The 26,712-nt window shown below is 45.7% G+C and overlaps 1 protein-coding gene across 11 annotated transcripts in view; it reads right to left on the bottom strand.

Moving 5' to 3' along the window:
- The window catches only part of MAMLD1 (mastermind like domain containing 1), a 152,602-nt gene extending 126,968 nt beyond the window's left edge, over positions 1-25,634 (bottom strand). For 5 of the 11 annotated variants that reach the window (NM_001400515.1, NM_001400513.1, XM_011531092.4 and 2 more), the window contains exons 1-2: positions 25,507-25,634; positions 24,320-24,389 (exon numbers count right to left, since the gene is read on the bottom strand). The gene's annotated coding sequence lies outside the window, so the exon portion shown is untranslated. Of the gene's footprint in view, positions 1-13,338; positions 13,469-22,676; positions 23,890-24,319; positions 24,390-24,986; positions 25,077-25,506 lie in introns of those variants that run through there. The other 6 variants (NM_005491.5, NM_001400512.1, NM_001177465.3 and 3 more) reach the window with 4 other exon arrangements.

The raw sequence follows: 26,712 nt of genomic DNA, 5'->3' as shown, positions 1-26,712 counted from the left end.
TGTGATATATATTTATACTAAAACTATATAATCCTTAGATTGAGAAAAGCAATCAGTTAATGTCTTACCTATTAAACACAGGTACAAGTTGAAAATTGTAGAAAATTGAAAGAAAACAAAAGACAAAATTAATGTCTATAGTAAGGAATAAAAGAGTTTAAGATATTTTAAAATTATGTGTATTTTCTTCTCTTTTACATAAATCATTTTTGAAAAGTATGCTGAAAATTTTTGAGTAATATTAATTATGATTTATTTTTCAATATAATTTGGAGATCCTTTGTTATCCAAAAAACAGAAAGAAAGAAAGAAAAAAGAAAATCATTGATAAGAAAGGATATCTGCCTGAACAGGATTTAATGCAGATGAAAGTGCCTTATACTGGAAAAAAAAAAATGTCATAAAGGACATTTAGTAGTAAGGAAGAGAAGCGAGCACCAGGATTTAAGGCAGGAAGGGATAGTCTAACTTTGCAATTTCGGGCAAAGGCAGTCCAGGTTCATGATCAGGGCTGCCCTTATCTATAAAGGTGCTAACCCCTGAGCCTTGAAGGGAAAAGATAAACACCAGCTGCCGATCTTTTTGTTGCACAGCAAGAAGGCCTGGACAATAAAAAAATTTTTTTCTGGATTGGTTCCATCGATCCTTTGTCCCTGAAGACAGGAAGTACCTTGTCAGTAAGAGACTGCCTTTTAAAGTTCTTTTGATATTGGACAATGCTCCTGGCCACCCAGAACTCCATGGGTTCAACACTGAAGGTGTTGAAGTGGTCTACTTGCCCCCAAACACAATTCTAATTCAGCCTTAGATCAGGGGGTCATAAGGACTTCTAAGACTCACCACACAGGTTACTGTATAGAAAGATTGTCAATGTTTTGGAAGAGAACCTCAATAGAAAGAACATCATGAAAGTCTGGAAGGATTACACTATTGAATATGCCATAATTGTTTAGAAAAACCTGTGAAAGCCATCAAGCCTGAAACAGTAAATTACTGCTGGAAAAAGCAACTGTGTCCAGATGTTGTGCATGACTTTACAGAATTTATGACAATAAACAGGGAAATCATGAAAGAGGTTGTGGATATGGCAAAAAAAAAAAAGATGGGTGTTGAAGGATTTCAAGATATGGATCTTGGAGAAATTATAGAGCTAATAGACACCATGCCAGAGGAAATAACAGAAGACAACTTTATGGAGATGAGTGCTTCCTAACTAGTGCTGGACCATGAGGACAAAGACATAAAAGAAGCAGTGCTGGGAAACAAATTGACATTAGACAATTGAACAGAAGGGTTCTGATTACTCAAGACAGCTTCTGACTTCCTTTACAGCATGAACCCTTCTATGATACAGGACCTGAAGCTAAAGCAAATGGTGGAAGAAGGATTGGTATTATATAGAAACATTTTTTAGAGAAATAAAAAAGCAAAAAGTTAGAGAGAAATTATGATGTATTTCCATAAATTTGCACTGGGTGGGCCTGCCTCTCCTGCCTCCTCTTCCACCTCCTTCACTTCTGCCTCTGTCATCCCCAAGACAGCAAGAGCAACCCTTCCTCTTCCTCCTTCTCCTCAGTCTACTCAATATGAAGATAATAAGGATGAAGACCTTTATGATGATTCCATTTCATTTAGTGAATAGTAAATATGTTTACTCTTCCATATGATTTACTTAATAACCTCTTCTTTTCTCTAACTTACTTAATTGTAAGAACACAGTATATAATACATATAACATATGAAATATGTGTTGTTTATGTTATTGGTGAGGCTTCCAGGCAACAGTAGGCTATTGGTAGTTAAGTTTTTGGGAAGTCAAAAGTTATAAGTGGATTTGTGCCTGTGCAGGGGGTTGGTACCCCAAACCACTATGTTGTTCAAGCATAAACTCTGTGTGTGTGTGTGTGTGTGTGTGTGTGTGTGTGTGTAGTATTGTTCAGGCATAAAGAAGAAATCCTGCCATTTTCAACAACATGGATGAACCTGCATGACCTGAAGTGGAAATAAGCCAGACAAAGAAGACAAATAATATATGGTCTCACTTATATGTAGAAATTTAAAATGCTGAACTCCTAGAAGCAGAGAGTAGAATAGTGGTTGTTAATGTCTTAGAGGTGGGGGAAATGGGAAGATCTTGGTGAAAGTGTGCAAACCTTCAGTTATAAGATGAATAAGTTCTGGGAATCTAATGTACAGCATGGTGACTATAGTTAGTAGTACTGCATTGTTCCCTTGAAACTTGCTAAGAGGGCAGATTTTAAGTGTCCTCACCACACACATATATACACAAAAAAATGGTAATTATGAGAGGTAATGGATGTGTTAATTAATTTGATTGTGGTAATCATTACACAATATATACATATATCGAATCATGTACACCTTGAATATACACAATTTTTATTAACTAAACATTTTAAAATTTAAAAACTCAAAATGGAAGATAAATCTAAATGTAAGAACTAAAACTATAAAACTCTTGGAAGAAACATAGAAATATATCTTTGACTTTGGGTTAAGAAATAGTTTCTTAGATATGATACAAAAAGCACAAGTGAGAAAAGAAAAACTAAATAAATTAGCTTTCATCAAAATTAAAATTTTTGTGCTGCGAATAATACCATCAAGGAAGTGTAAATATGACCCACAGAATGGGAGCAAATATTTGCAACTCTTATATCTGATGAAGGTCTAGAATTCAGAATATATAAACAATGCTTACAGTTCAACAATAGAAAGACAAATAATCCAATATAAAAATGGGCAAAGGCTCTGCATAAACACTTCTCCAAAGAAGATATACAAATGGCCAATAAAGCACGTGAAAAGATGCTCAAAATCATAGCCAACAGGGAAATGCAAATCACAATCATAATGAAATACCACTTTATGCTCACTAGAACAGCCATAATAAAAAAGACAGAAATTTACAAGTGTTGGCAAGGATGTGGAGAAACTGGAACTCTTATATATTGTTGGTGAGATTGTTAAATGGCACAACTACTTTGGAACAGTTTGGCAGTTCCTCAAAATGCTAAACATAGAGTTACCATATGATGCAAAAATTCCATTCCTAGGTATATGCCCAAGAGAAATGAAAGCATATGTCCACACAAAAACTTGTACATGAATGTTAACAACAGCATTATTCATAAGAATCAAAAAGTGATAACAGCTCAAATTTCTATCAACTGATGAATGGAGAAACAACATATGGTGTATCACAAATAATATGTGGAATATTATTTGGCAAAGAAAAGGAATGAAGTACTAATACAAGCTACAACATGGATGAAGCTTGAAAACATTATGCTAAGGGAAAGAAGTCAGTCACAAAAGGCTATTTATCTTATGGTTTTATTTATAGGAAATACCTAGAATAAGTAAATCCATATAGACCGAAAGCATATTAATAGTTACTAAGGGCTTGGGCAGGGGGTAATTGAGGATGTTTGCTAATGGATATGTGGTTCCTTTTCAGGGTAACTAAAATATTCTGAAATTAGATACTGGTGATGATGGTACAACTATGAATATACTAAAAGCCACTGAACTGAATATTTTAAATGGGTGAATTCGGTGGTATGTGAATGGTATCAATAAAACTGTGTTAAGAGAACACATACCATTTACAACTGCTGCATAGAAAATGCAATACTTAGATATTTAATATAATATAATGTGTATAGGATCTGCATCCAGAAAGTTACAAAATGCTTTTGTAAGAAATAAAGACTCCTGTGCATGTATCCTGGAACTTAAAATAAAATAAAATATAAAAAATCAAAGAGGAGCACAATGAGATTTCCTGTGACCTATTAAAATCCATAAAATTTATCAAAGAAATTTACATACGAAGTAAATCTTGATAGTAGTTCCAATCACAATAAATTATACTTGCAACTGACATTTATAAGCAATTTCTTTTCTCTCTTTAAAAAAACTCTATATTTTCTTTATGAAAATAGTGATTTTTTAAAACTCTACTCTAAAATGGGACAGGGCCGGGCGCGGTGGCTCACGCCTGTAATCCCAGCACTTTGGGAGGCCGAGGCGGGCGGATCACGAGGTCAGGAGATCGAGACCATCCTGGCTAACACGGTGAAACCCCGTCTCTACTAAAAATACAAGAAATTAGCCGGGCGTGGTGGCGGGCGCCTGTAGTCCCAGCTACTCGGGAGGCTGAGGCAGGAGAATGGCGTGAACCCGGGAGGCGGAGCTTGCAGTGAGCCGAGATCGCGCCACTGCAGTCCAGCCTGGGCGACAGAGCGAGACTCCGTCTCAAAAAAAAAAAAAATAAAAAATAAAAAAAAAAAAAAATAAAATAAAATGGGACAAAATATTTGTAATCTGAAGTGTTTCAAATTTTGTACTCTATTGCTGCAGTCTTATACTACATCAACAAGTATGAATACATTTATAAGAATATATTTAAAATATTTTCACTTATTGTATTTCCCTTGAAAATATTGACATTTTTGAATTTTAATAAAAAGAATTCAGAAAAAAAGAGTTGAACATCAAATAGAAATAATAATAAACACCTTTTTTGTGCTCATAAAAGAATAAAGACCTAAATAAAAGAGGAGACATACTATGTTTACTGCCTAGAAGACTCAACATAGTAAAGATGTCAATTCTTGAATTGACCTGTAGGTTTAATGCAGTTCTCATCAAAATCTCAGCAAAGTTTTTTGTAGACGTAGACAAGGTTATTCTAAAATATATGGAAAGGCACAAGTCCTAGGTTAAAACAATTTTGAGAAACAATTATACAATGGGAGGAGTACTTTTACCCAGTATTAACATTTTTATATGGCTACATTAGTCAAGACTGTGTGGTATTGGCAGAGGGATAGACACATAGATCAGTGGAGCAGAATAAGGAGCCCAGAAATAGACCCATAAAAATATTTCCCACGAATTTTTGACAAAGGTGTAAAAGCAGTTCAGTGAGGTGGGGATAGCCTTTTCAACAAATGCTACTAGAGCCATTGAGCATCCATAGGCAAAAAAATAATAAACATCAACCTAAACCTCACACCTTATACAAAAATCAACTCAAAATCGATTATGGCCTTAAATGTGTAACCATCAAACTTAAAAAATATTAGAGAAAATTTTCAGGACCTAAGACTTGGGGTAGAGTTCTTAGACTCAACCACAAAAATCTGACCCCCAAAATAGTCTTTTTGTGAAAGAACCTATTAAAAGGAGGGAAAGATAAGATACAGACTGAGAGAAAGTATTTTCAAATTACATATTGGACAAAATACAAGTATCTAGAATATATAAAGAACTTGCAAAACTCAACAGTGAAAAAAAAGAGAAAAAATGCAAATAATCCAACTAGAAAATGGGCCAAAGTCATGAACAGACATTCCGTGAAGTTATATGGATGAAAAATAAACTCCAGAAAATATGTTCAATCTCATTAGGCGTTAGGGAAATGCAAATTAATATGACAATGAGATATCTCTACACACCTGTGAGAATGGACTACTCCTGTATTGCACTACACCACTATCAGAATTATGCTGAGGGAAAAAAGCCAATCTCAAGAGATCACATGCTATATGATTGAATTTACATAACATTCTTGAAATAACAAAACTATAGGAATGGAGAACAGATTACTGGTTAGTTGCCATGGGTTCAGAAGTTGGGGTAGAGCAGATCAGGAGGGAAGTGGGTTTGGTATAAAACAGCAACACAAAGGATTGCATATCCTTGTGGTGATGGCACTATTTCTTTTTCTTGACTGTGGTCACATGACTCTACACATTTGATAAAACTGCTTTGAATTAAATACTCACACATGTACACAAATAAGTGCATGTATAACTGGTAAACTCTGAATAAGGTGGATGGAGTGTATCAATGTGACTGTCCTGGCTGTGAACTGGGTGAAGGGTAAATAGGATCTTTCTAGTATTGTTTCCTAAAACTGTATGTGACTCTACAATTATCTCAAAATAAAAGGCTGTTAAAAATCACAATAAAGCCTCTATAATTAAAACAGTGTGGTACTGGAAGAAGAATAGGCAAATTGACCAGTGGAATAAAATATGCATGTAGAAATAGACCCAAGTATATGTGGAGACTGAATATATAATAATGGTGACTTTTCAAATCACTGGAGCAAGATGAACATTTGTAAAATGGGGCTGCGATAGCTGGGTAGTCTCTTGAAAAAAGGGAAGGGGATGGGTGCTGTGGCTCATGCCTATAATCCCAGCATTTTGGAAGGCTGAGACAGGAGGAACGCCTAAGCCCAGGAGTTTGAGACCAGCCTGAGCAACATAGCAATATCCACTCTCTACAAAACATTAAAAAAAAAAAAATTTAGCCAAGTGTGGTTGTGGCACACCACCCCACCACTGACTATGACTATGCCACTGCACTCCGGACTGGGTGAAAGAGTGACACCCTGTCTCTAAAAAAGAATAAAAAAGAGAAACAAAAAGAAAAAAGGAAAGAGGTAAAGTAAGATCCCTCCCATATACCATTCATAAGAATAAACTCCAAATGGATTAGGAATCTAAATGTAAAACATGAAACCATACAAATACTGGAAGAAAATTTGGTGAATTTCTCTTTAAACTGGATGTGAGGAAAGGCTTTCTAACTGTGATTCAAATCCGGATATGATAAAAGAAAAGACTGATACTTGACGACATAAAAAAATTTTTTGCATGGCAAAACAAAACAAACATTGAAAAAAACCACAAACCAATTAAGTGAAATTACTTGCAACATATATCACAAATAAAAAAAGCTAATATACCTAACACAGAAAAATACTCTTAAAATTGAGGGTAAAAGACTAAAAACCCAATAGAAAAAGGGAGAAAAGACATGAACAGATAATTCACACACATAAAAATATCAAAAGGGCTCTTAAGCATATGAAAAGATGTTCCAAGCCACTCCTAATTAGAAAAATGCTAATTAAACTACACTGAGATACCATTTCTCACCTATCAGATTTGTAAAAATTAAAAAGTAAAGCAAATACTTTGTTGGTGAGGCTTTGGGGAAAAAAACACTCTCATACATTGCTAATGGGAATGCAAATTGGTACAATCTTTCTGGAGGGGAATTTGGCAATACCTAACAAAACTACATTTGTTTTTACATTTTGACACATTAATCCCACTTATAGAAATGTACTCTTTAAGATATACCTCTAACAATATGAAAATACATATGTACTGGGTTGTTTGTTTTATTTTTAATTGCAAAATATTGGAAACAATCTAAATGGCTACACATAGGAGGTTGGTTGAATAATCTATGGTACATCTACACAATGCAGTACTATGCAGCTGTAATGAAAGAATGAAGAAGATCTCTATATGGAGTGATTTCTGGGACATGCGTTTGAGTGAACAAGCAAAGCTCAAAAGAGTATGTCTATTAAGCCACCCTTATGTAAGGAAGGGGTATGGGAAAATACACAGATATCTGTTCATTTGTGCAAAAGGAAACACAGAAAAGCTAATGAAGTTGGTTACTTACAGGAAATGAGTGGAATGAGGTGGAAAGGACAGAAGTAATGGGAGATGTCACTTTTCTGAGGATTTCTTTTTGTACAGTTCTAACTTTTGAAACTATGTTATTATTTCACATGCTCACAGAAAAATAATTAAAATTAACAAAGAAAGATGGTTCAGGGGTGGGGGGCAGACAAAAAGGAATCTAAACAGAAACAAGTGAACTAAACCATATTCAAATGACCTCAGTGGGGCCCGGGAGATGAACTAGCCCAGGTAACTTTTTAACAGTGCTTGAAGGATTCACTCTTACGAAAAGACAAAAATAATTCTGAACAAATATTGTACTCTTGTCAATTGGCTTCTTCATAGAGTCATGGGTTAGCAACTCTGAAACTAGCTTCTATATATTCTAGGATTAAGTGAGTAAATATATTATGGTAATGGCAGAGAGATTTCTCACTGTTTTGCAAGGAAACTACAAATATGGGAAGGGGGAAGATAGAATGAACTTTGCTGTTGTATTGGAATTTGGAGGTTATCAGTGTGAACTCATGGTTTATGGGTAAGTAGGTAGGCAGGTAGATAGATAGATAGAGAAATAGATATTACCAAAATAATAAATAAAAAGGAATAGATATAGATGTGAGTTAATTATTTTCCTAGCTTTGTGGACTGAGAGGGTTTAGTAACAATGCCACATCTGTAGAAATGCGCATGCTTTTAGTACCCAGATCTTAGTTTTTAAATACCATTCTTCACTAAAAGAAGTTAAGATTCCATGGGAAAATGGCTGATATTAAGGCTAAGGCAGGGAAAGCACAAGATGAGCCTGGAGCAGATGTGCCAGAAATTAAGGGCGCGCTCAGAGGATGATTAGGGGCATGTCAGAAAGACATAGGAACTAGTTTGAAGGAGTTCCCACGGGACAAACCTCAGGCAATTTGAGCATCAAAATAAATAATGATAGGAAAGGATTATAACTCAAAGTAAAAATGCACAAGTCAACCTAATATAAATAAAAGCATAAGTAAATAAATGGGAGTGAAAGAAAAGTTCTTTCTTATAGTAGAAAGTCAACTAATAAATGTAGAATGGATGATGGAATCAGAAATTCATTATTTGGCAACCAGCATAATGCACTGACCATCTTGCCCCAGGCACAGACCATCAATAAATGCTAAACTAGTGAGTGAAAGTTTGAGGTGTACTAGGATACTAACAGCCTCAAAATATATTTATTTCCCCAAGATACTCATTAATTGCAACGGGAAGAAATAGGAACTGGACAGTGGAGATATCTGGCAGACATCACCTTAACCAAGTGATCAAAGTGACAATCACCAGGAATAGGATGAATGGAACTAACATCGTGGACCTCCTGATATGATACACTGATGGACAACATCACTTCTGTGGTATTTCTGCCAATAGTACATAACCCTGATCTAACTATGAGGAAACATCAGGCAACAAACTCAAACTGAGGGACTTTATGCAAAATAACTGGCGTGTACTCTTCAGAAATGTCAATGCTACAAAACACTAAGACAGATTGAGGAACCATTCAACATTAAAGGACACTAAAGAGACAAAACGACTGAATGCACTGCATGATCCTGGATTTTCTTTTGCTATAAAGGACATTATTAGGACAATTGGCAAAATCTGAATAAAGCCTTTAGATTAAAGTCTTTAGATAGATTAGTACCACTATTAGCTTCCTGATTTTGATCAATATGTGCTTATGCAGGAGAACGTTTTAGGAAATGTTAGGAAATATATAATGCAGTATTTGGAGATAAAAGAGCATCATACCTACAATTTGTTCTCATAAAGTTCAGAATAAAATTGTGTGTGTGTGTGTGTGTGTGTGTGTGTGTGTGTGTGAGGGGGTGGTAGATATAACATAGAATGTGGTAAAATGTTAACATTTGGGGAATCAAGTGAAAGGTATTTAAACATTATTTGTATTATTCTTGCAAATATTCTGAGAGTCTGAATTTATGTCAAGTGAAAAATTAAATTAAAAAAAGAGTTAGAAGTGATCAATTAATCTCCTAGGGAGAAGGTATTGAGATCAAAGATTAAAGGCCTGAGGGGAAACCATTAGAAAATGCTCACAGCTGATGGGTGAGTTTCTAAGAAACAGCAGGACAAGAGTCTCCAGGCACAGTGGGTATTCAAAGAGTGGTAACTGTTGTTTTCATAAATTTCAGAAAGTACTAGTTCATCTCAGAGATATAGACCTCCTAACTCTTTCAGAAACATCACTAAATATTGCTTCTAGAAAGGATTTAAAGGTCATGTACTGTACTGGTCAAGTCACATCTTCCAAATATAACAATCTAACATAATAAGAGGAAAATTCCACAAAGCCCCTTTAGGTCAGCCTCCTCTTTGTAACAGTGGGAACCGTGAGGCCCAGAGAGGGGAAGGGACTTGCCCAAGGTCACACAGCAAGGCAGTAGAGCTGGGCCAGGCACCAGGGTGCCTCCCTCCAAGGCCAAGGCCTCTCTGACTCTGCACCTCCATACAGTCTGGCTTCAGGCCAGAGGAGTGGATGGCTGGGAACTAGACAAGAGGTAGCTGGGCTGGAGCTGAGAGATACAGTCCCAAAGTTGGTGGCTGTTCGGGAATGAGTGGGGCGCATTTTGTGAACATCCCATAAGCTATAGGTGGCCAACACATTTATGTGATTAAAAATACAAAATAAGGCTGAATACGCTGGGTGCAAACAGTTGAGAAAATAAAAGCTTCTTTTAGACAAGACAAACTGTTACTCAGTACAAAAATAAGGGTGGGGTGGCTTGGGATTGTTTTTTTTTTTTTTCCATAATGAAAATTAGCAAATATGAAGTCAAACCTAAAACAGCCCATCTGTTTGAAATAAAATAAATCCAAATAACAAGCCCCTAAGGACCACCCCCCAATATTCAAAAAATCTGTTTTATTTTAAATTAGGCATTGGTACAAAACCAAGAAAATTAAATATTTACTGTTAACAGAGAACCCTTGGATGTTGGGGGCAGGGGTGGAGAATAAAAATTCCATTCTGATAAGCTAGTATCTGATAGCTAGAAATCAGAATCACTCAGCCCTATATTCTGCTGACTGCAGGTCCCATTTGGAGTTGAGGGCCTGGAGGCTTCTTCTGTAAGATCCTAGGAAGTGCGGTGTGGGGCAAGCAGTGGGTTGCAAGCTGGGCCTCCTGGGTCCTGGACCACCTCAGCTCCTAGCAGCTTGCCAGGGAAGCCTGGGCAAGCATGATATTTTTCTTCAGCTGCAGCATCCTCAAGCATAAAACAAGGGGTCTCTAAAGGAATTTTTTTCTATTATTTGGTCCTACATAAATACATGTCAACTTTGTCTTTAGCTAAAACTTCTAAAACTGTTATCACTTATGTAACAGTCACAGTCCCCACCTACCCAAACAAAAATACAACCCCATGCTTTCAAGTCTCTGGTAATTTCAAAAAGAACAAATTATTACTTATCCTTTTCAAATATTTTAAGTAACTTAGAGTTTAACTTGCTACTGGAGAATTCAGAAATGCCAGAGCTGGAGGAGCCCTTTGGATGCCCCTACACCATTCCTTCATTGTACAGATGGAGAAAATGATGCCCAGTCTGAGGAAATAGCTTGCCCCAAGTGCCATGGCTAGTTGGTATCAAAGCTGAAGCCAGACCACATGTCGGTGGCCCTCAGGTGGGTATTCTTCCCACTGTAGCACCAGGGACTCCTCCCAGACTCAGAAAGCTGGTCTGAAACAGTGAATCTTCCAAAGGGCAACCACCCACTGCCAAACTTTCCAATTTACAAACTACTCTCATTTTGTTTGATGACGTGATGGACCTAAAATTCCTAGGTGGCATCTGCTTTCAACTGACTTGCACGATTCCTCTCCCTCCAGATTAATAATGAAATTAAGGGTGAGATGCTCTGCCAAGGATGGGAATGGGAGCCACTCTGCGTAGTGACCCTGTGCTAAGCACTCTTTTTCAACATGATCTCCACTTAACTACCCGTGGCAAATCGGGTTGGTTTAACAAAAGAAAGAATGGGTAGGGAGACACCTCAATCTGTTTGCAAGGCAATTCAAAGCAAAAACAGTTCTCTCTTTCTAAAGGAGAGGGAAAGCCCAAGCTCCTAGCAACACATTTCTTTCCAAAAGGTTCCTAAAATGCACATGGGGTGGGGGAAGGGACTTAAAAGCTCTGCAAATGCGTGGCAGCCTCCACTTTGGAACTGCATAGCAACAGGCTGAGCAAGGCCAGGATCTCCCTCTGAGGGTTCAAAGGGCTTTCCAAACCTGCTATTTACTTTCTAGGGCTGACTTTGAGGACCTGAGCATTCATCAGGGCCAGGTTAATATGATGATGGGCTTGTGTTTCTAGGAGAATTGAAAATACACTATTGTGAGGAGCCAGACAGAGAACTTGGAAGGTGCACAGGATCAACAAGGGCCAAGGAAATGTCTTCATGACTTGTCATGAGACCCAGGGCCAGCACCTGCTCCTCTCTGGGCCTCAGTTTCCCCATCTTTGATATATGAGCCCTCGTGGCCTTGCCATGAGAAGACTTTCCACACTTCCAGGGTTAGACGGGGAAGGTTGTGGAAGTCTTATTTGAATGGAGTCCAGCCATCCTCTTCCCTCCTAAGCAGACCCCCCACACACCAGCAGGCCCAACCTGAGGCTCCTCTCCAAAAGGACACGACCCCACTTCCTCAGGATGGGGCCCTGGACAGATCCTGGGGTGAGACTACTTCCCAGTTTTCATGAGGGTCTGGCTAGGCCCTTTCAGTGACTATGAGAGAGACACCCAGGATCCACTTTACCTTCTCATGCCCGGTGTGACCGTACTGAAATGTGAAAAACCAAACAACTATCTGCCTCCTCAGATCCCATTTTCTCACTTCTGCAGCAGGCAAATGTGGAACCTCCTCAAGGCACTGGACTGGCTACACACATCCTTGACCCATTCTGGAACTGCCGAGGGCTGGGTAATTGGGATCTCTAAAACTGTCTAGATCCTGGACACACTGCATGCTCTTTGAGGTCCCTCCCAAGCCAGAGTCTCTTTAATGCCAGTTTGCCTGGGCGTAACTTATGCAGTATCAAAGAAAGGGACAAAATGACTTTTCAAGTCAAAAGAAGCCTGATTTTCTCTTGTTAAATTTCTCACATCAAATGGAAATGCAAAATAAATAGTAAACACTGACACTAAAGAGAGCAACCCATGAGTGTGCCCTGAGCCTGATATTTACAGGACCATCTCACCAACACCGTCTCTTTTGAATCTCCCACAATGCTCCAAACTTGGTGGAACTGACATTCTGATATTTCCATCTGACAACTGAGGGCACTGAGACTTGGCAGGTTCACAGACTTGCCTAAAATCCCACAGTTGGTCAATGTCTCCTGCCGAAAGCTCATATTGAGGCTTTCTTAACCTGTGACAAAAGATCCTCGAGAGAACCATGAGTGGGCTTAAGGCCTAGTAGTACCCTAAATTAGATGCAACATTGCGTGTTATTTTTCAATTGTCTAAGGAGAAGACCCAGAGCTTTCATCAGATTCACAAAGAAGTCTGTGATCCCTAAGAGGCAAACAGCCACTCCTGCTTCAGAGGATAGGGAGTCATTTTTGTTATGATTTGAGGTTCAAGAGACCAACTGGGGTTAGCTTCCCTGAGGGCAAGCTCAGAAAAACCTTGGCAACCAGGCAGTTCTCTAACTCATAAATAGGACCAGCTTTATGCCAGGCATGGTACCATTTGGTGGGGTGGAGGGTGGGGTGTGGATTAGAGGGCTTCCCTAAGCCCTGAATACCTCCTTACCTGTGCCCTAAACAGCAGATTCTCTCCAAGGCATGGTAACTCTTGCATCTTTTAATTCAAGTTAGAGGCTCCAGATTCTCCAGAGGAAGGGAATCCCACTAAGGTACAGCGGGCTGAGGATGGCATCTTTCTAGGTAAGGTGGAGAGGGGGTGTGAGAAGCAGGAGGCAAGTCTAGAAACCGGTAAGGAAAATGTAGGGGTACTGAACCTAAACTCGATTTGCTCGGGATTTGGCAGCCAAAGGCATGGCTGAAAATGCCAGTGAGCCTGTCCCCAGCCGTATGCAGAATAGGGCTTCAGACCTAGCCTTTGCTATCTTGGCAAAGTTCTACTCCTGAGAGAGGGTGAGTGTGTGAGTGTGTCTGTGTGTGTGTACCTGTGTGTGTGTGTGTGTGTGTGTGAGAGAGAGAGAGAGCTCTTCACAACCACCTGAGCAAGGAGATGAGAACTCAAATGGCTAACCTGGCCAACTCTCAAATCCCACAAATCAGCTTCGGTGGACCCAAACTAGGCAACCAACAATGCTGCTAAGTCTCCCCAACCAGGGCCTGAGAATGCAGTCTTCTCAAGCACCCAGAATGGGGAACGGGCCTCCCACTCTGGGATCCACTGCTGCTGTTTGGGAAGGTGGGGATAAAAGATATATGTGGGACTGCCAAAGGGCTGTTACTCTTGGGGATTGCTGGTGCGGGACGCCCAGGAAGAGCAGGCAGGAGGAGGGAGAAAAGCCTGCCTGGAGAATCCCCATTAACTTCATCTTGTGATTTCATTGTCACAGCCACTCAGAACAGGTTTGGCCCCAGGGGCAGGCTCTTGGGAGCCTCCGATTTGATAATGTGCTCACCTCGTGCTGTGGGACAAGACCTCACCACGAGCCCTATTAGTGGGTGAGAAAGGACTCCCTGGCTGCCCTATTGCACAGGGCATCAGTCATACTCCAAAACTAACACCCCAGCCACGTGCTCGGGTGTTACCTTTGTGTCTGGTGCTCCCCTGGTGGGATTAGTGCAGTGACACTCCTTGATATTTTCAGGGCTCATTTCGAGAACTGTCATGGCAACTAACATGATAATGCTCTTTACCCCATGGCTGGGGGATCACTAGAAACAACCAGATTGTTCACTTTAGCTCGAATGTCAGCACAATTATTTTAACACCAAGTGTGTCAGGTTTGACTCCGTATTCCGGAAATTAATTTTAGAGTGGCAGGGAAATAAAATGGCATACTTCTTTGAGCTTTGTTACAACATGTTCGTGCAGCAAACTGCGAAGAAAATGTAGTAATTAGAGGTTAAATTAATCCTTGACAGACAAGCAGCTTAGAAACGCTGTGCCCTCCTCCCGAAGCCTAGCATAAAGCATGCCAGTCTTTCAGAATTAGACACGCAAACCATGTGACGTTGGCAACTGCACCAAAACTACTGTCCCACTTAAAATTCCGAGGCTGGTGCTGGAACTTCCAGAGGCAGATATTAACACTGAGATCTCATTAAGAGCCAAACCCAAACAACCTCCCACCATTGCCAGAGGAGCCCACCCAGCCAAGCCCTCCACAGGGCTGGCTGCCTGACTCTCTGACAGCAACTCGAAAACGAGACACACACTACCTTCTAATTCTTAATTTACAATCTCCATTCTCCAGCTACTTCCAGACTTCGAGTTCAGATTCTAATATGCCCCTTTGCTGTCCTAACAATGCTGAGCAAAGCACACGTTGATACAGGGTAGATTATATTACGCCACAGTTACAAGCGCTCCCCCTCCATTGGCTGCATTTCTTTTTACCACATTTGCTCTGCCTCAAAAGGAAAGCCTGTCTGCCCACACATGGGTGCAAAATGGATGTTCTACACTTGACTGAGAACTAGAGACCAGGGTTCTGTCAACTTTGGGCTCCCTTTACTATGTCCCCATAGGAAAGTCAGACGCTTCTCTGGGCCTCAGTTTCCTCTTCTGTAAAATCATGGGGTTTTACTCTTCCAGCTGTAAGATTCTCCATCTTTCAACATCTGAGTTTGCAGGTGAGGTGGTGCACCTGTGCTAACTATGTACAGGTGCAATGGTCAACTGACTGGCATAGCCACAGAAAGGAAGGCAGAGCTGGGTCCTGTCTTCCTCCTCCCCACTCTGTCACAGCACGCTGCCGAAGCTGAGAGTGGAATTTCGGATTCAAATGCAGGAAAAAATAGAAATGCATTACTTGTGGGGTGAGGGTGGAGCTGGGACAATTGGACCAAGAACTTGGAATTCCTCAATGTGTTCAGAATTACTTGACTTTGTTTTTTTCCTGTCTTTATGCTCCAAAGACCCACACTTTCCTCTCACAGGTGAACACAAGCTGGGGCCACCAGGCCTTTTTGACCTGGATGCCATTAACTAGCTCAGGTGCTGTGGCCTCCAATGATCTCTTCCAAAATCAGCAGAAAACTGTCCCTGTGGTCTAGTGTCTAGGTACTCGCACAGGTGGAAGAAAGGGGAAAAAATCAACGGCTGGCCTGCTAGGCCCTCTTCCAACAAGATGATATCACCTGGTCCACTCCATCCTTCTCTGAACCTCAGGGAACAATTCTCAGCCTTAAGAAAATGGCCTTTCCCAAAATCCACTTACTGGTTATTTACTTGGCAGAACAAGCAGCAGGGCACATGGGAGGGTAAGGTAGCTTACCCCACCTGCCCACCAAGGAAATGGGGGTCTGGGAGGCTCCAACTGGGCTGTGCAGAAAGGGGCACTGGCTGTGTCCAGGTCAGAGGGCAGCCGGGCAGGACTGAGTTGCCTTGGTGGGTGGGTCGGGGGTCCTCCTCCAGGGGTATGAAGAGCCCACCCTCTTGCAGGCCGAGGAAGGGAGGGAGTAGTCTGAAGCTGGGGCCTCAGGGAGGCTCAAGATAGCCAATCTGGGCAAGGAAAGCTCTCCTAAACTTTGCAAAGAGCTTTTTGCTTCTTGCTCCCAAACCCTCCTTAGGCCCTGTCTCTGGAAGCCTTTACTCTGGGAGCTCAGTGCCTACAGCCAGGGAGGCCCCTTGCTATTCCCTCCCCCGGGGGGAATATTTTTGAACTGTTTCATATCTGATTGCTTTGGATGTTATAAAGATGTCAGATTTTAGGAGAAAACTCGAGGTTTGAAGGAAACCAGGGAGGCTCTGTGAAGGGGAGAAAGAAAGCAACCAGAGCTGGGGGGGTGGAGGCAGGGAAATAAGGTAACCCAACTCTTTTGCTTCTGTCTCCACCTCTGGAAGAAAATGCTCTTGGGGCTTCAGCAGCCCTGGGCTGGTAATTTGGGAGCAGGACCCCACAGGACTATGCACCTCCAATCTTGGCATGTAAATATCCTATAACACAAGCTACTGTTTCTTACCTCCATGGACAACCCCCTGACTAACTGTCCTGACAGCTCCATGGGGCCTTTTCTTCTTCCTTTGACACCTTTACAGACTAAAGAACAACAATGACACAACAAAAATAAGAAGTAATAAGTATTTGCAACACAGTCTCTTCAGGTTCATTCGGATTTATGAAATTTTCCTCCTCGAAGTACTGAAGATGTTTAAGGACCCAATGCCTACAAAACCAGGCCAGTTCCAATTGAGCTTTGCAATGCTTTTTTCCTGCCATACAGTTGACTGGTGCTGCCTAGGTTACCCCTCGGTGGCGTTGTGAGAGGTGTATGATGGGAATTGGTTTATTGTGCTGATCCATAGTAACCGGCTCCTGTTCCTCCATCATTTATCTCCCTCCCCAGTGACATCTGGGTTGGTCTATTCACACTCTCAGCATTCTATCTGCTCCAACAAACACTCAGCCTTTTCTGCTTGGATAAGGAGTTTTTTAGTTACATCCATTATATGTGTATCAACATTTATGGCAGCAAGATAATTGCCAAAGAACTCAGAGGATAAAGAGTCCTTCTTCATAATGTTCACCCCTGCCCCTTTAAAAAATCAATATTAACATCAAGTAGGACAGCAGCAGGTTCTTACATGGCTGCTGTATCCCCAAAGTTGGAAATGTGATTTAAAAAAAAACAGCTGGATTAGGAAGAAAAGAAAAGGTTCAACAATGGGTTCAGAACCCACACCCCAGTGGTGCACGTGTGTGTGGATGGAAGGCCTTTTTGTCTTTGAAACCTTCACTAAATAACTGCAAAGCAGCAAATCTGCTCTACATTAGATGAGTCCTTTGGAAATATGCCAGTCTACTCTAAAGAGTTTAGATCCCGTTATCTGTATACCAACCCAATGATTAGGAGGCCTGCCATCAATAGGAGTACTGGACAAGAGAAACTTTGGGTTGATTTCTGATGTCCGCTGTCTCTGATTCTGGGTTAGAAGTTCACACTTGCAAAAGACACAAAAAGGTGAACACTTCACACTTTTGTATTGTTTTGATTGGCCTTCTGCCATTTTTTTACTCCTCCTTTTTATCCTTGCCCTTCAAAATATCAGCCCCTTTTTATTATCTGTCTAGCTGTTTCCCAATGACAAGGTTGAACTTGATGTTTCACTTTCCCAGAAAATGACTATTTCATTCACAAACCATAGTGTTTTAGAACTGGAAGGGACTCAGACTCAGAGGTCATGGGATTGGGGGAGAGAAAGGATGGACTTGTCCAAGATCACTCTGTTAATTAGTGGGCAGAACTTTCTAGAACACAAGTTTCCCAGCTCCTAGGCTAATGATCTGTGCAATGCACTGTTGCAGAAAAAAAAAAAATCAGAATCTTAAAAAAAAAGGGTTTATTCAATGCCATCCCCATCAAGCTACCAATGACTTTCTTCACAGAATTGGAAAAAACTACTTTAAAGTTCATATGGAACCAAAAAAGAGCCTGCATTGCCAAGACAATCCTAAGCCAAAAGAACAAAGCTGGAGGCATCATGCTACCTGACTTCAAACTATACTACAAGGCTACAGTAACCAAAACAGCATGGTACTGGTACCAAAGCAGAGATATAGACCAATGGAACAGAACAGAGCCCTCAGAAATAATACCACACATCTACAACCATCTGATCTTTGACAAACCTGACAAAAACAAGAAATGGGGAAAGGATTCCCTATTTAATAAAAGATGCTGGGAAAACTGGCTAGCCATATGTAGAAAGCTGAAACTGGATCCCTTCCTTATACCTTATACAAAAATTAATTCAAGATGGATTAAAGACTTAAATGTGAGACCTAAAACCATAAAAACCCTAGAAGAAAACCTAGGCAATGCCATTCAGGACATAGGCATGGGCAAGGACTTCATGTCTAAAACACCAAAAGCAATGGCAACAAAAGCCAAAATTGACAAATGGGATCTAATTAAACTAAAGAGCTTCTGCACAGCAAAAGAAACTACCATCAGAGTGAACGGGCAACCTACAGAACGGGAGAAAATTTTTGCAATCTACTCATCTGACAAAGGGCTAATATACAGAATCTACAAAGAACTCAAACAAATTTACAAGAAAAAAAAAAAACAACCCCATCAAAAATTGGGCGAAGGATATGAACAGACACTTCTCAAAAGAAGACATTTACGCAGCCAGCAGACACATGAAAAAATGCTCATCATCACTGGCCATCAGAGAAATGCAAATCAAAACCACAATGAGATACCATCTCACACCAGTTAGAATGGCGATCATTAAAAAGTCAGGAAACAACAGGTGCTGGAGAGGATGTGGAGAAATAGGAACACTTTTACACTGTTGGTGGGACTGTAAACTAGTTCAACCATTGTGGAAGACAGTGTGGCAATTCCTCAAGGATCTAGAAGTAGAAATACCATTTGACCCAGCCATCCCATTACTGGGTATATACCCAAAGGATTATAAATCATGCTGCTATAAAGACACATGCACACGTATGTTTATTGCGGCACTATTCACAATAGCAAAGACTTGGAACCAACCCAAATGTCCATCAATGATAGACTGGCTTAAGAAAATGTGGCACATATACACCATGGAATACTACGCAGCCATAAAAAAGGATGAGTTCATGTCCTTTGTAGGGACATGGATGAAGCTAGAAACCATCATTCTCAGCAAACTATCGCAAGGACAAAAAACCAAACACCGCATGTTCTCACTCATAGGTGGGAATTGAACAATGAGAACACATGGACACAGGAAGGGGAACATCACACACCGGGGCCTGTCGTGGGGTGGGGGGAGGAGGGAGGGACAGCATTAGGAGATATACCTAATGTTAAATGACGAGTTAATGGGTGCAGCACACCAACATGGCACATGTATACATATGTAACAAACCTGCACGTTGTGCACATGTACCCTAGAACTTAAAGTGCAATAATAAAAAAAGGTTTTACTGTATATTGAGGCTCCTTTAAAGAAGAGGCATAGTCCAGCTATTTTCAGAAGAGCCACTTGTCTAAGACCAGTTTATTCCCTTTCATAACCCCAAATAGTAATTGAGTTTCCTAGGGACCATCCATTAACAGGTGCATTTTATGCCTTTAGGTGATCAATTTAAAAGGGAAGAAAATACATTAAACATGCTGGCTAAGCTAAAAAAATCCCTTTCCTTAGTAAAAAGGATTGACAGTAGTGAATCTCCTACCTTAAGTTGCAGTGAATCTGTAGACCCCACCCCCACCCCAGAAACAGGGTATTTCCTGGTGGAGTGTAAAAATTCAATGACGTTCCTATTTCAACCCACACATCTGTGTCACTGTCAGCGTCAGTGGCAGGAAAACAGACGAAGTCACCCTTTGCTAATGATTTCCTAACATGGAATTTCCTTGTATCTCCTAAAGGCTTTCTTCTTCCAACGCCAAACTCTTCCCCACCCCCCACCCCAACACATTGTACTGAAGAAAAACTGAAAATGGTCACAGCCGGAAGAGGATGATTTTTAAGGAGATCTTGTAAGGAAAAGCTTCAGCTCTTTGTGATATTTTTAAAGGGGGAAAGGGGGGAAAGAATGCTAGTTTTTTCCGAAGCTGAACAAAACAGAGAGATTTCCTCCCAGGCATCTGGAAATCTCTCAGCCCCACCTCTTTCTTTCTTTTTTCCTGCCTCGTCTGTCCCAAGTTCCACTTTGAGCAACATTCTTACTTCAGTACTGAAAGAAACACTCGCACATCGCAGGCAGGCACCGGGAGAGGGCAGGGCGGCCCCCAGAGCAGGGAGCAGGCATTGGAGAACCACCAAGCACAAAGCAGTATAGGAGCCCATCACTTTTCCCCTCTGGAGAATATCCTATTTAATATGCAAACTGGTCATGAAGTGAAAAGAGGGCTGTTACTTTAAGGGGAAGAAGCTGATTAGCTGCTCTGGCTGGCAGCAAACAGCTGGTCTGTCCGGCAGGTTCAAGGCCATTTCAGCTTCTCTCTTATGGAGGCACCATATGTTCCATCTCGCACATCAGCAGCTTTATTTTCCAATGATCTTGCTCCAGAAGAGAAGCACAAAGGAGGGAGGAGAAGGCAGAACCAGTAGTTTACCCTTTGATTACTTTCTTGTGGTTTTAGATGCAGTTGGGATGTGTGTATGCGCGCATTTGGGATGTGTGTATGCGCGTTGAGGGTGTTAACGCTTCATCTTCTACTCCAAAGACGCAGAGAACAAATGTTTGAGCAGCACTTATCAATAACCTCCAGAGATGGGAGGGGAGGGGAGTAGGAGAAAGATATGCAAAAAGGCACAAATAAAACGTCGACATCAGATTAAATGGAAGTAGGAGGGGCGGAGGCGGCCAGAGAGCGGGTGGAATCTGACTTCGCTTGGGAGACCCACCAGCCTGAGCCTGGGCCCCGCCCACTTTCCTTATTTGTCACTTTTTTCTTTTCAGTATTCCCTTCCCGAACAAACTCTATGAGAGACACCGACCACTTTGGGGCACAGGGGCGGAGCAGGCCAACAGAATGGCGAAAGGTTACTTCTAACATTATATTTGACATTCCTCAGTGCAAGCCCTGGTTCTCGAAAGTTTTAGGGGGGCAGTTATAAGGGACAAGGACCCGCTAAATGGTCAATCTAACTAAAGCTGGCAGCTTTAGTGTCAGGCGCTGGGTTAGGTGCAGAGGCAGCAGGCCAGCGCGCAGTCCAGAGTAGCACGCTCATCCTCACTGCCCGCCTAGGCTACACGAACCCCGGAGGTGGCGGCTCCCACTGCCTCCGCGCCTCCAAACAAAGGGCGCTCGGAGAGTTTGAGCCCTTGTGTGTGGTGGGGCGGAGGGTGTGGCAGGAGGGCGCGGGAAGAAATGAGGCGTGTAGCCAGACGCGGGTGGCCTAAGCCTCCGAGCTGCCGCCTCCGTCTTAGCCACCGGCGGGCGCGACAGCTGCCCTGAGCTCCGGCGGCGAGGGGCGCCCGCTGCAAAGCGAAACCAAGGAAAGGGCGCCCCCTATGCCCGAGCCCGGCGAGCGCATCGGCGAGTCGCGTCTGCCCACCCCGCGGAGCGCTTGCAGCCTAGGGCCTCTGCGCGCGCCCGCCAGCTCGCAGTGCAGTCCACTCGGCCGTCCCGGCCGCCAGGATTTAGGGTGTCCAGGGCTGGCAGGCCGGGCGTGCAGCGAGGGCCGGGGCTGAGGCTCCGTGCGCCTTCGTGGGTTCCCACAGAGGGTCCTCGAAACACAGCCCCCTCCCCCATCGCCTACACTTGCCCTCCTGTCCCGAGCGGCTCGAAACCACTTGGAGACAGCCGCCCCCGCCCTCTGCCTCTGCGTCCCTTTTCCCCTTCCCTCTCTCCAGCCTCCTGGGAAACAAAGGGGCTTTTTATAAAGCGGATTGTTGGCGGCGGCGGCGGCGGGGGTGGGAGGGAGGGGGGATCTATAAAGACAAGAAGAGGTGGGAGGGAGGGAAGGAAAGAAGCTGCGCGGCCTCCAGGGGCCCAGAGCTGCGGTGGCGGCCGGGAAGCCCCGGCGGGTGCACGGTCGACCCCGCCCGGCCGGTGGGCACTCGGGCGGCAACCCACGCCTGCCAAGAGCTGGGCCGCGCCGCTGCGATGTCGCTCGCCGGCTCACCGCAACCAGGGAACACAATTCCCCAGGCGCGGGCCGGGGCCGCTGGGGGCGGCGCAATTCCCGCGGGGGTCTACCCCGGGAGACCCAGGCCCTCTCCCTAGCCAACTCTTTCAAAATTGCTTGGTCTCAGGGAGACTTTGCGCCTTTGTTCCAGCGCAGCCGCCTCTAGTAAGCTCGGCTCGCTCGCCCTTGCAGACAATGTCCCGGAGCCGGCCTGGGTTTGCCTACCCGTGAGCAGCACGTTCACCGTGGGGACCGCGCCCCCGGGGGGCACCGTGGTGCCAAACAACAACGACAAGCCACCCCAGCAAAAGCAGCCCCTTCTCCCCACGTCCCCCAGCCACGCTGTGCTCCCGCCCGCTCACACACACCCACACTCCGGGTGCCCAGGTCAGCCGCACCCAGCTGCAGAAGCGCGGCGGGGCGGGAGTGAATGCTCCAGCCCGAGGCGCGTGTTTGCACAGGTTCCGATGGCTTCAGGGCCGAGCTTTCTGGCAGGCTAATCCTATTAGTGTCTGCTCAGTCCGAATTTAATCACGGATCAGAATCAGACGACATCTCCAGCTTTCCAGGAGGCTTCGGACACACTGCATTGGGACGGAGCCTGGCCAAGCCAACTGGCCGAGAAAAGTATTTGGCGGCGCTCCGGGGGGCTTCCCGCCCGCGCTAGCCGGCGCCGGGCGCCCAGCTCTGTCGTCGCGCGGATGCTGGGGAACCTGAAGCGCGGACTCTGACGCAGGGGCGCCGGGGCTGCTCCGCAGGAACCCAGTCCGGGCTGCCCTGAACACCAGCTCAGCTCCGGGCTGCGCTTCCCAGGAGTTGGCAGGGGAGGGAGTGCAGGGCAGCGGATTCGGCGCGCACACTCCACACTCTCGCTCAGAGGCGGCAAACAGCGTTGGGGTGGGGAAATCCTTCATCCAGCGCCCACTGCCTACTGGCCTGGGCTCAGGCAGCTGGCATGTGAAGGCACCGTCGCCGGTGACACCCAGGCTGCAAGCGACCCGGGGGTGCTGGGACAGAGTGGGAGCCTCCCAGTAGCCCAGCGTAGCCCGAGGAGCTTGCGCCCTTCTACCTTTCCTCCCCGGTACGTGGCTGTCCCCGCCGGATTTCAGACGCCCGACGGGCGCCGAGCCAAAGGCCGTGGTCTCCGGCGTTTCGAGCTGCGCCCAGCCCAGCCGGGCTGGTTCGAGAAGGGGGTGGCCGCCCGCAGCGCCAGGTGGGCCGTGTGCTCAGAGCAAACTTTAGGGTCTACCGACTCGAAGCACCCCTGGGACCCCGATCCTCAGCGATGGGGACCATAACTGGGGGCTACAAGTGTACCCCGGAACCCCCAGAACAGTCAGACTTCCTGCACCCGCCCTCAGCCTTACCGTGCTGCAGAGCTCCGGCGGCGGCGGGGGCAGTGTCCGAGGGGCGGGCGGCCGCCGGCGCGGGCAGCCTGGACTCAGGCGGCCGCCAAGGAACCCAGCCCTGTTGCAGATCACCCCCTGGCTAGCGGCCGGTGCCCCCGCGCCCGCCCGCCGCCGGCCGCTTCAGCTCGCGGCCAAGTTCATGCTGGCGGCGCTGCAGTGGCGGCCTCAATCTGCTCGCTCCATTCCCACCGCCCGGCTCCGCGCCGCGCGCCCGGAAGGTGGAGTTTCGGGGGTTTAAGTTACTGATAGGCATTTCTCACTGCTGTGTCACTCGGGGAGGAGGAGACACGCACGCCGCACACTCACACACCCTCACACTCACGGCGACGAGCGGCTCCGGCCTTAAAGGGGAAGCCGCGCTGCCCTGCCCGCGACCCCGCCAGCCCGAAGCCTGGAAACTCAGGGTTTCCACTCCGGGATGGGGCAGCGGGCAGCCAAAGAGCTGCGGCCGCCCGAGGGGCCTCCCGGGCCCTCCCACCAGTCTTTAGAGGAGAAAGCGGCCGCAGGCTGGCTTCGCTGTTGCAGCCTCATTTCTCCAGTCGGCTCGAACCAGGGCAGCTGGGGAGGGATCGGAGGGGCGGAAGGGGCATCGGTGCACTCACCTTGGCTGCTCCGCACTCAGTGGAGGGTGGTCTGTGCCCCCGGCGTCAGCTGGCTTGCCTAGGCGGTGCGCTGGTGGAAAGAGGCGACAGCAGGGTTAGCGGAGCGCCTCCAGCAGACAGAGCCCGCCGGAGGGCCGCAGGCGGGGCCCGGCGCGCTTGGGAAACCCGCACGCCGAAGGTAGACTTTCCGCGTCTGGGGAAAACGAGCTGGTGAGCCGTGCGTGGCCGGGACACACGAAGAGCGAGCACGGAGAGCCAAAAGCCAGCGGTCATCAGTGACAGGGCGAGAGAGCGCTCAGGACCGAGAGACCAAGAAAGACAGGAGACCGTACGAGACACAGAGAAGGCAGAGACTGAGAGACAGATACCGAGAGAGGCACCGGCGGAGATAGAGGTAGAGACACGATGAAGGGAGAGGAGAGGAGAGGAGATGAGAGGAGAGGAGAGGAGAGGAGGAAATAAGGAGAGGAGGAGAGGGACCAGAGAACAAGAGAGCTTGCAAGAGGAATGACAGATCCCCAGAGGACCCTGAAGTGTCACAGGGACGGGAGTCTCATCACAAAGTAGCCTATTCAGCCCCCATCCCCCTTCCCATTTTCACCAGAGCCTGACCCTAGGGCTAGCGGCCAGGCCCTTCTCCTCCCCTCGCCCTGGGAGGGGCACTCACCTGCAGTGGGTGGCTGCTGGGTGGGTAGCGCCAGTCCCTCCGCCCACGCATCCGCTCACCAGCTCGCGCCCTGACTGCCAAACAGACCCGCTGTGGCGGCAGCGGGGACCAGGGCTCTCAGGTGGCAGTTAGTGAACTGCATTCTCTCCATCCCGGCCGAGTGCCCCACTCCCCACTTCCCAGTCCCCCACCCTTAGCGCGGACGCTGTCGGCGTCGCCCGCCAGTACGCTTAGCTCAGAGTCCAGGCTCGCTGGCCAGTCTCCCGTTCCACTGGACCAGGGCACGCGATGCTCCCGCCCAAGCTGGGCTGGATTGGCTCCCTCCGCAGTTATCCCAAGACGGACACCTGCGGCTTCTGCAGGAACATAGGTTCCTTGGGAACTGCCGGGCGGGCCAGCGCGCCCTGTCCACCATCTGCCCTGGCGCCGAGTCCAGCGACTCCCCTCCCACCTATCCCACCTCCCGGGTATTTGGCTGCGCCCCTTCTCTAGGATCCCCTCCCCGGATGCGTTTCCTAACCTGGACTTCTCCAGCCGATGGCAGCTGCAGGGGCTGAGCACAACCCGGGAACGCCGCGTCTGCTCCGACAGCAGCAGCGCTCAGCTCCTGTCCGCACCTCTGAGTAGCAACCTGTCACCAACACATCTGGTCACGCTCAGCGGAGCCGCAGGCCACGAATAAAGGGGTGGGCCCGCCGCCCACTAGGCCCCTCCTTCCCTCCACGCCCACGCTCTCGGCCCTCGGAAAGCGCTGGGGCCACCTCCGAGAACCCAGCAAGATCCCTTCGTGGGCTACGTAGGCGCAGTGAGGCTGGGCGATTGCCTCCTAGCGTTTCACGAAGTTACCTGGAGGAAGAGCGGCGTCCAGGCCCAACCGCGAGGCACATGCAGGGGCTGTGGCTTCGCAGCCCCAGCGCTGCCAGGATGCGCCCAGCCCAACAGGGCGAGGCTGGGGGTACACAGTTCGTCAGGGCAGTTGTGAAGGAATCCGCCTTGTCTGGGTCCAGTCCTGTCTGCTCTGCAAAGGGCAAGCAGCCAGAAGAGGTTATTGCTCTCTGGTGACTGAACCTTACCTTCAAGGCCCTCCAGGGAGAGCTAGAGTCATCTCAGGGTTGCCAGTGCCCCGGTAGAACTGCGAGAGTGCGGGAGTCCCTTGAAGGAAATCTGATTAAACAAAGCTGAATGGGAGATGGCCATGCCTATCACGGAGCATTGGCAGGATGCTTTTAAAATTCTATCTGCAACCTCCAAGTGCACTAGCCAAGGAGATGGAAGGTGGGTTTCTGTTCCCAGCACCTCCACTCAACCCTTGGACCACTTGCTCTCATCTTCCTCAGTGGGACAAATGATGCCCATTCCCCTAGAGCATCCTAAGAAGCCTGTAATATCACAGCCACACGTCTGCGAGATGGCTAACTGCCTGCTTGGCACCAGCACCTGGATGGCCATTAGAAATCGCCTGACTGAACCGAGTTCCTGATCGTCTCCCAAGTGTGCTGAGCCCATAGTCTGCTACCTCAGTTCATGGCTACTCCATCCTTCACGTTGCCCAGGCAGAAGGCCCTGGGATCCTCCCCGATTCTTCTCTCTTGCTCACACCTCACAGCCAGTCCAGTGGACAATTCTGCCATCTGCATCATCAAAATGTATCCACAATGTCAGTCTGCTCATCCATTGCTCCCCCCGGGTACCAGCCAGCAGCCTCTCCCCCCAGGATAACTCCAGT

The sequence above is a fragment of the Homo sapiens genome, chromosome X, assembly GCF_000001405.40.
Source record: "Homo sapiens chromosome X, GRCh38.p14 Primary Assembly".
NCBI lineage: Eukaryota > Metazoa > Chordata > Mammalia > Primates > Hominidae > Homo > Homo sapiens.
Note: the sequence above shows the minus strand (reverse complement) of the source record. Positions and strands in the feature narration are given on the sequence as shown.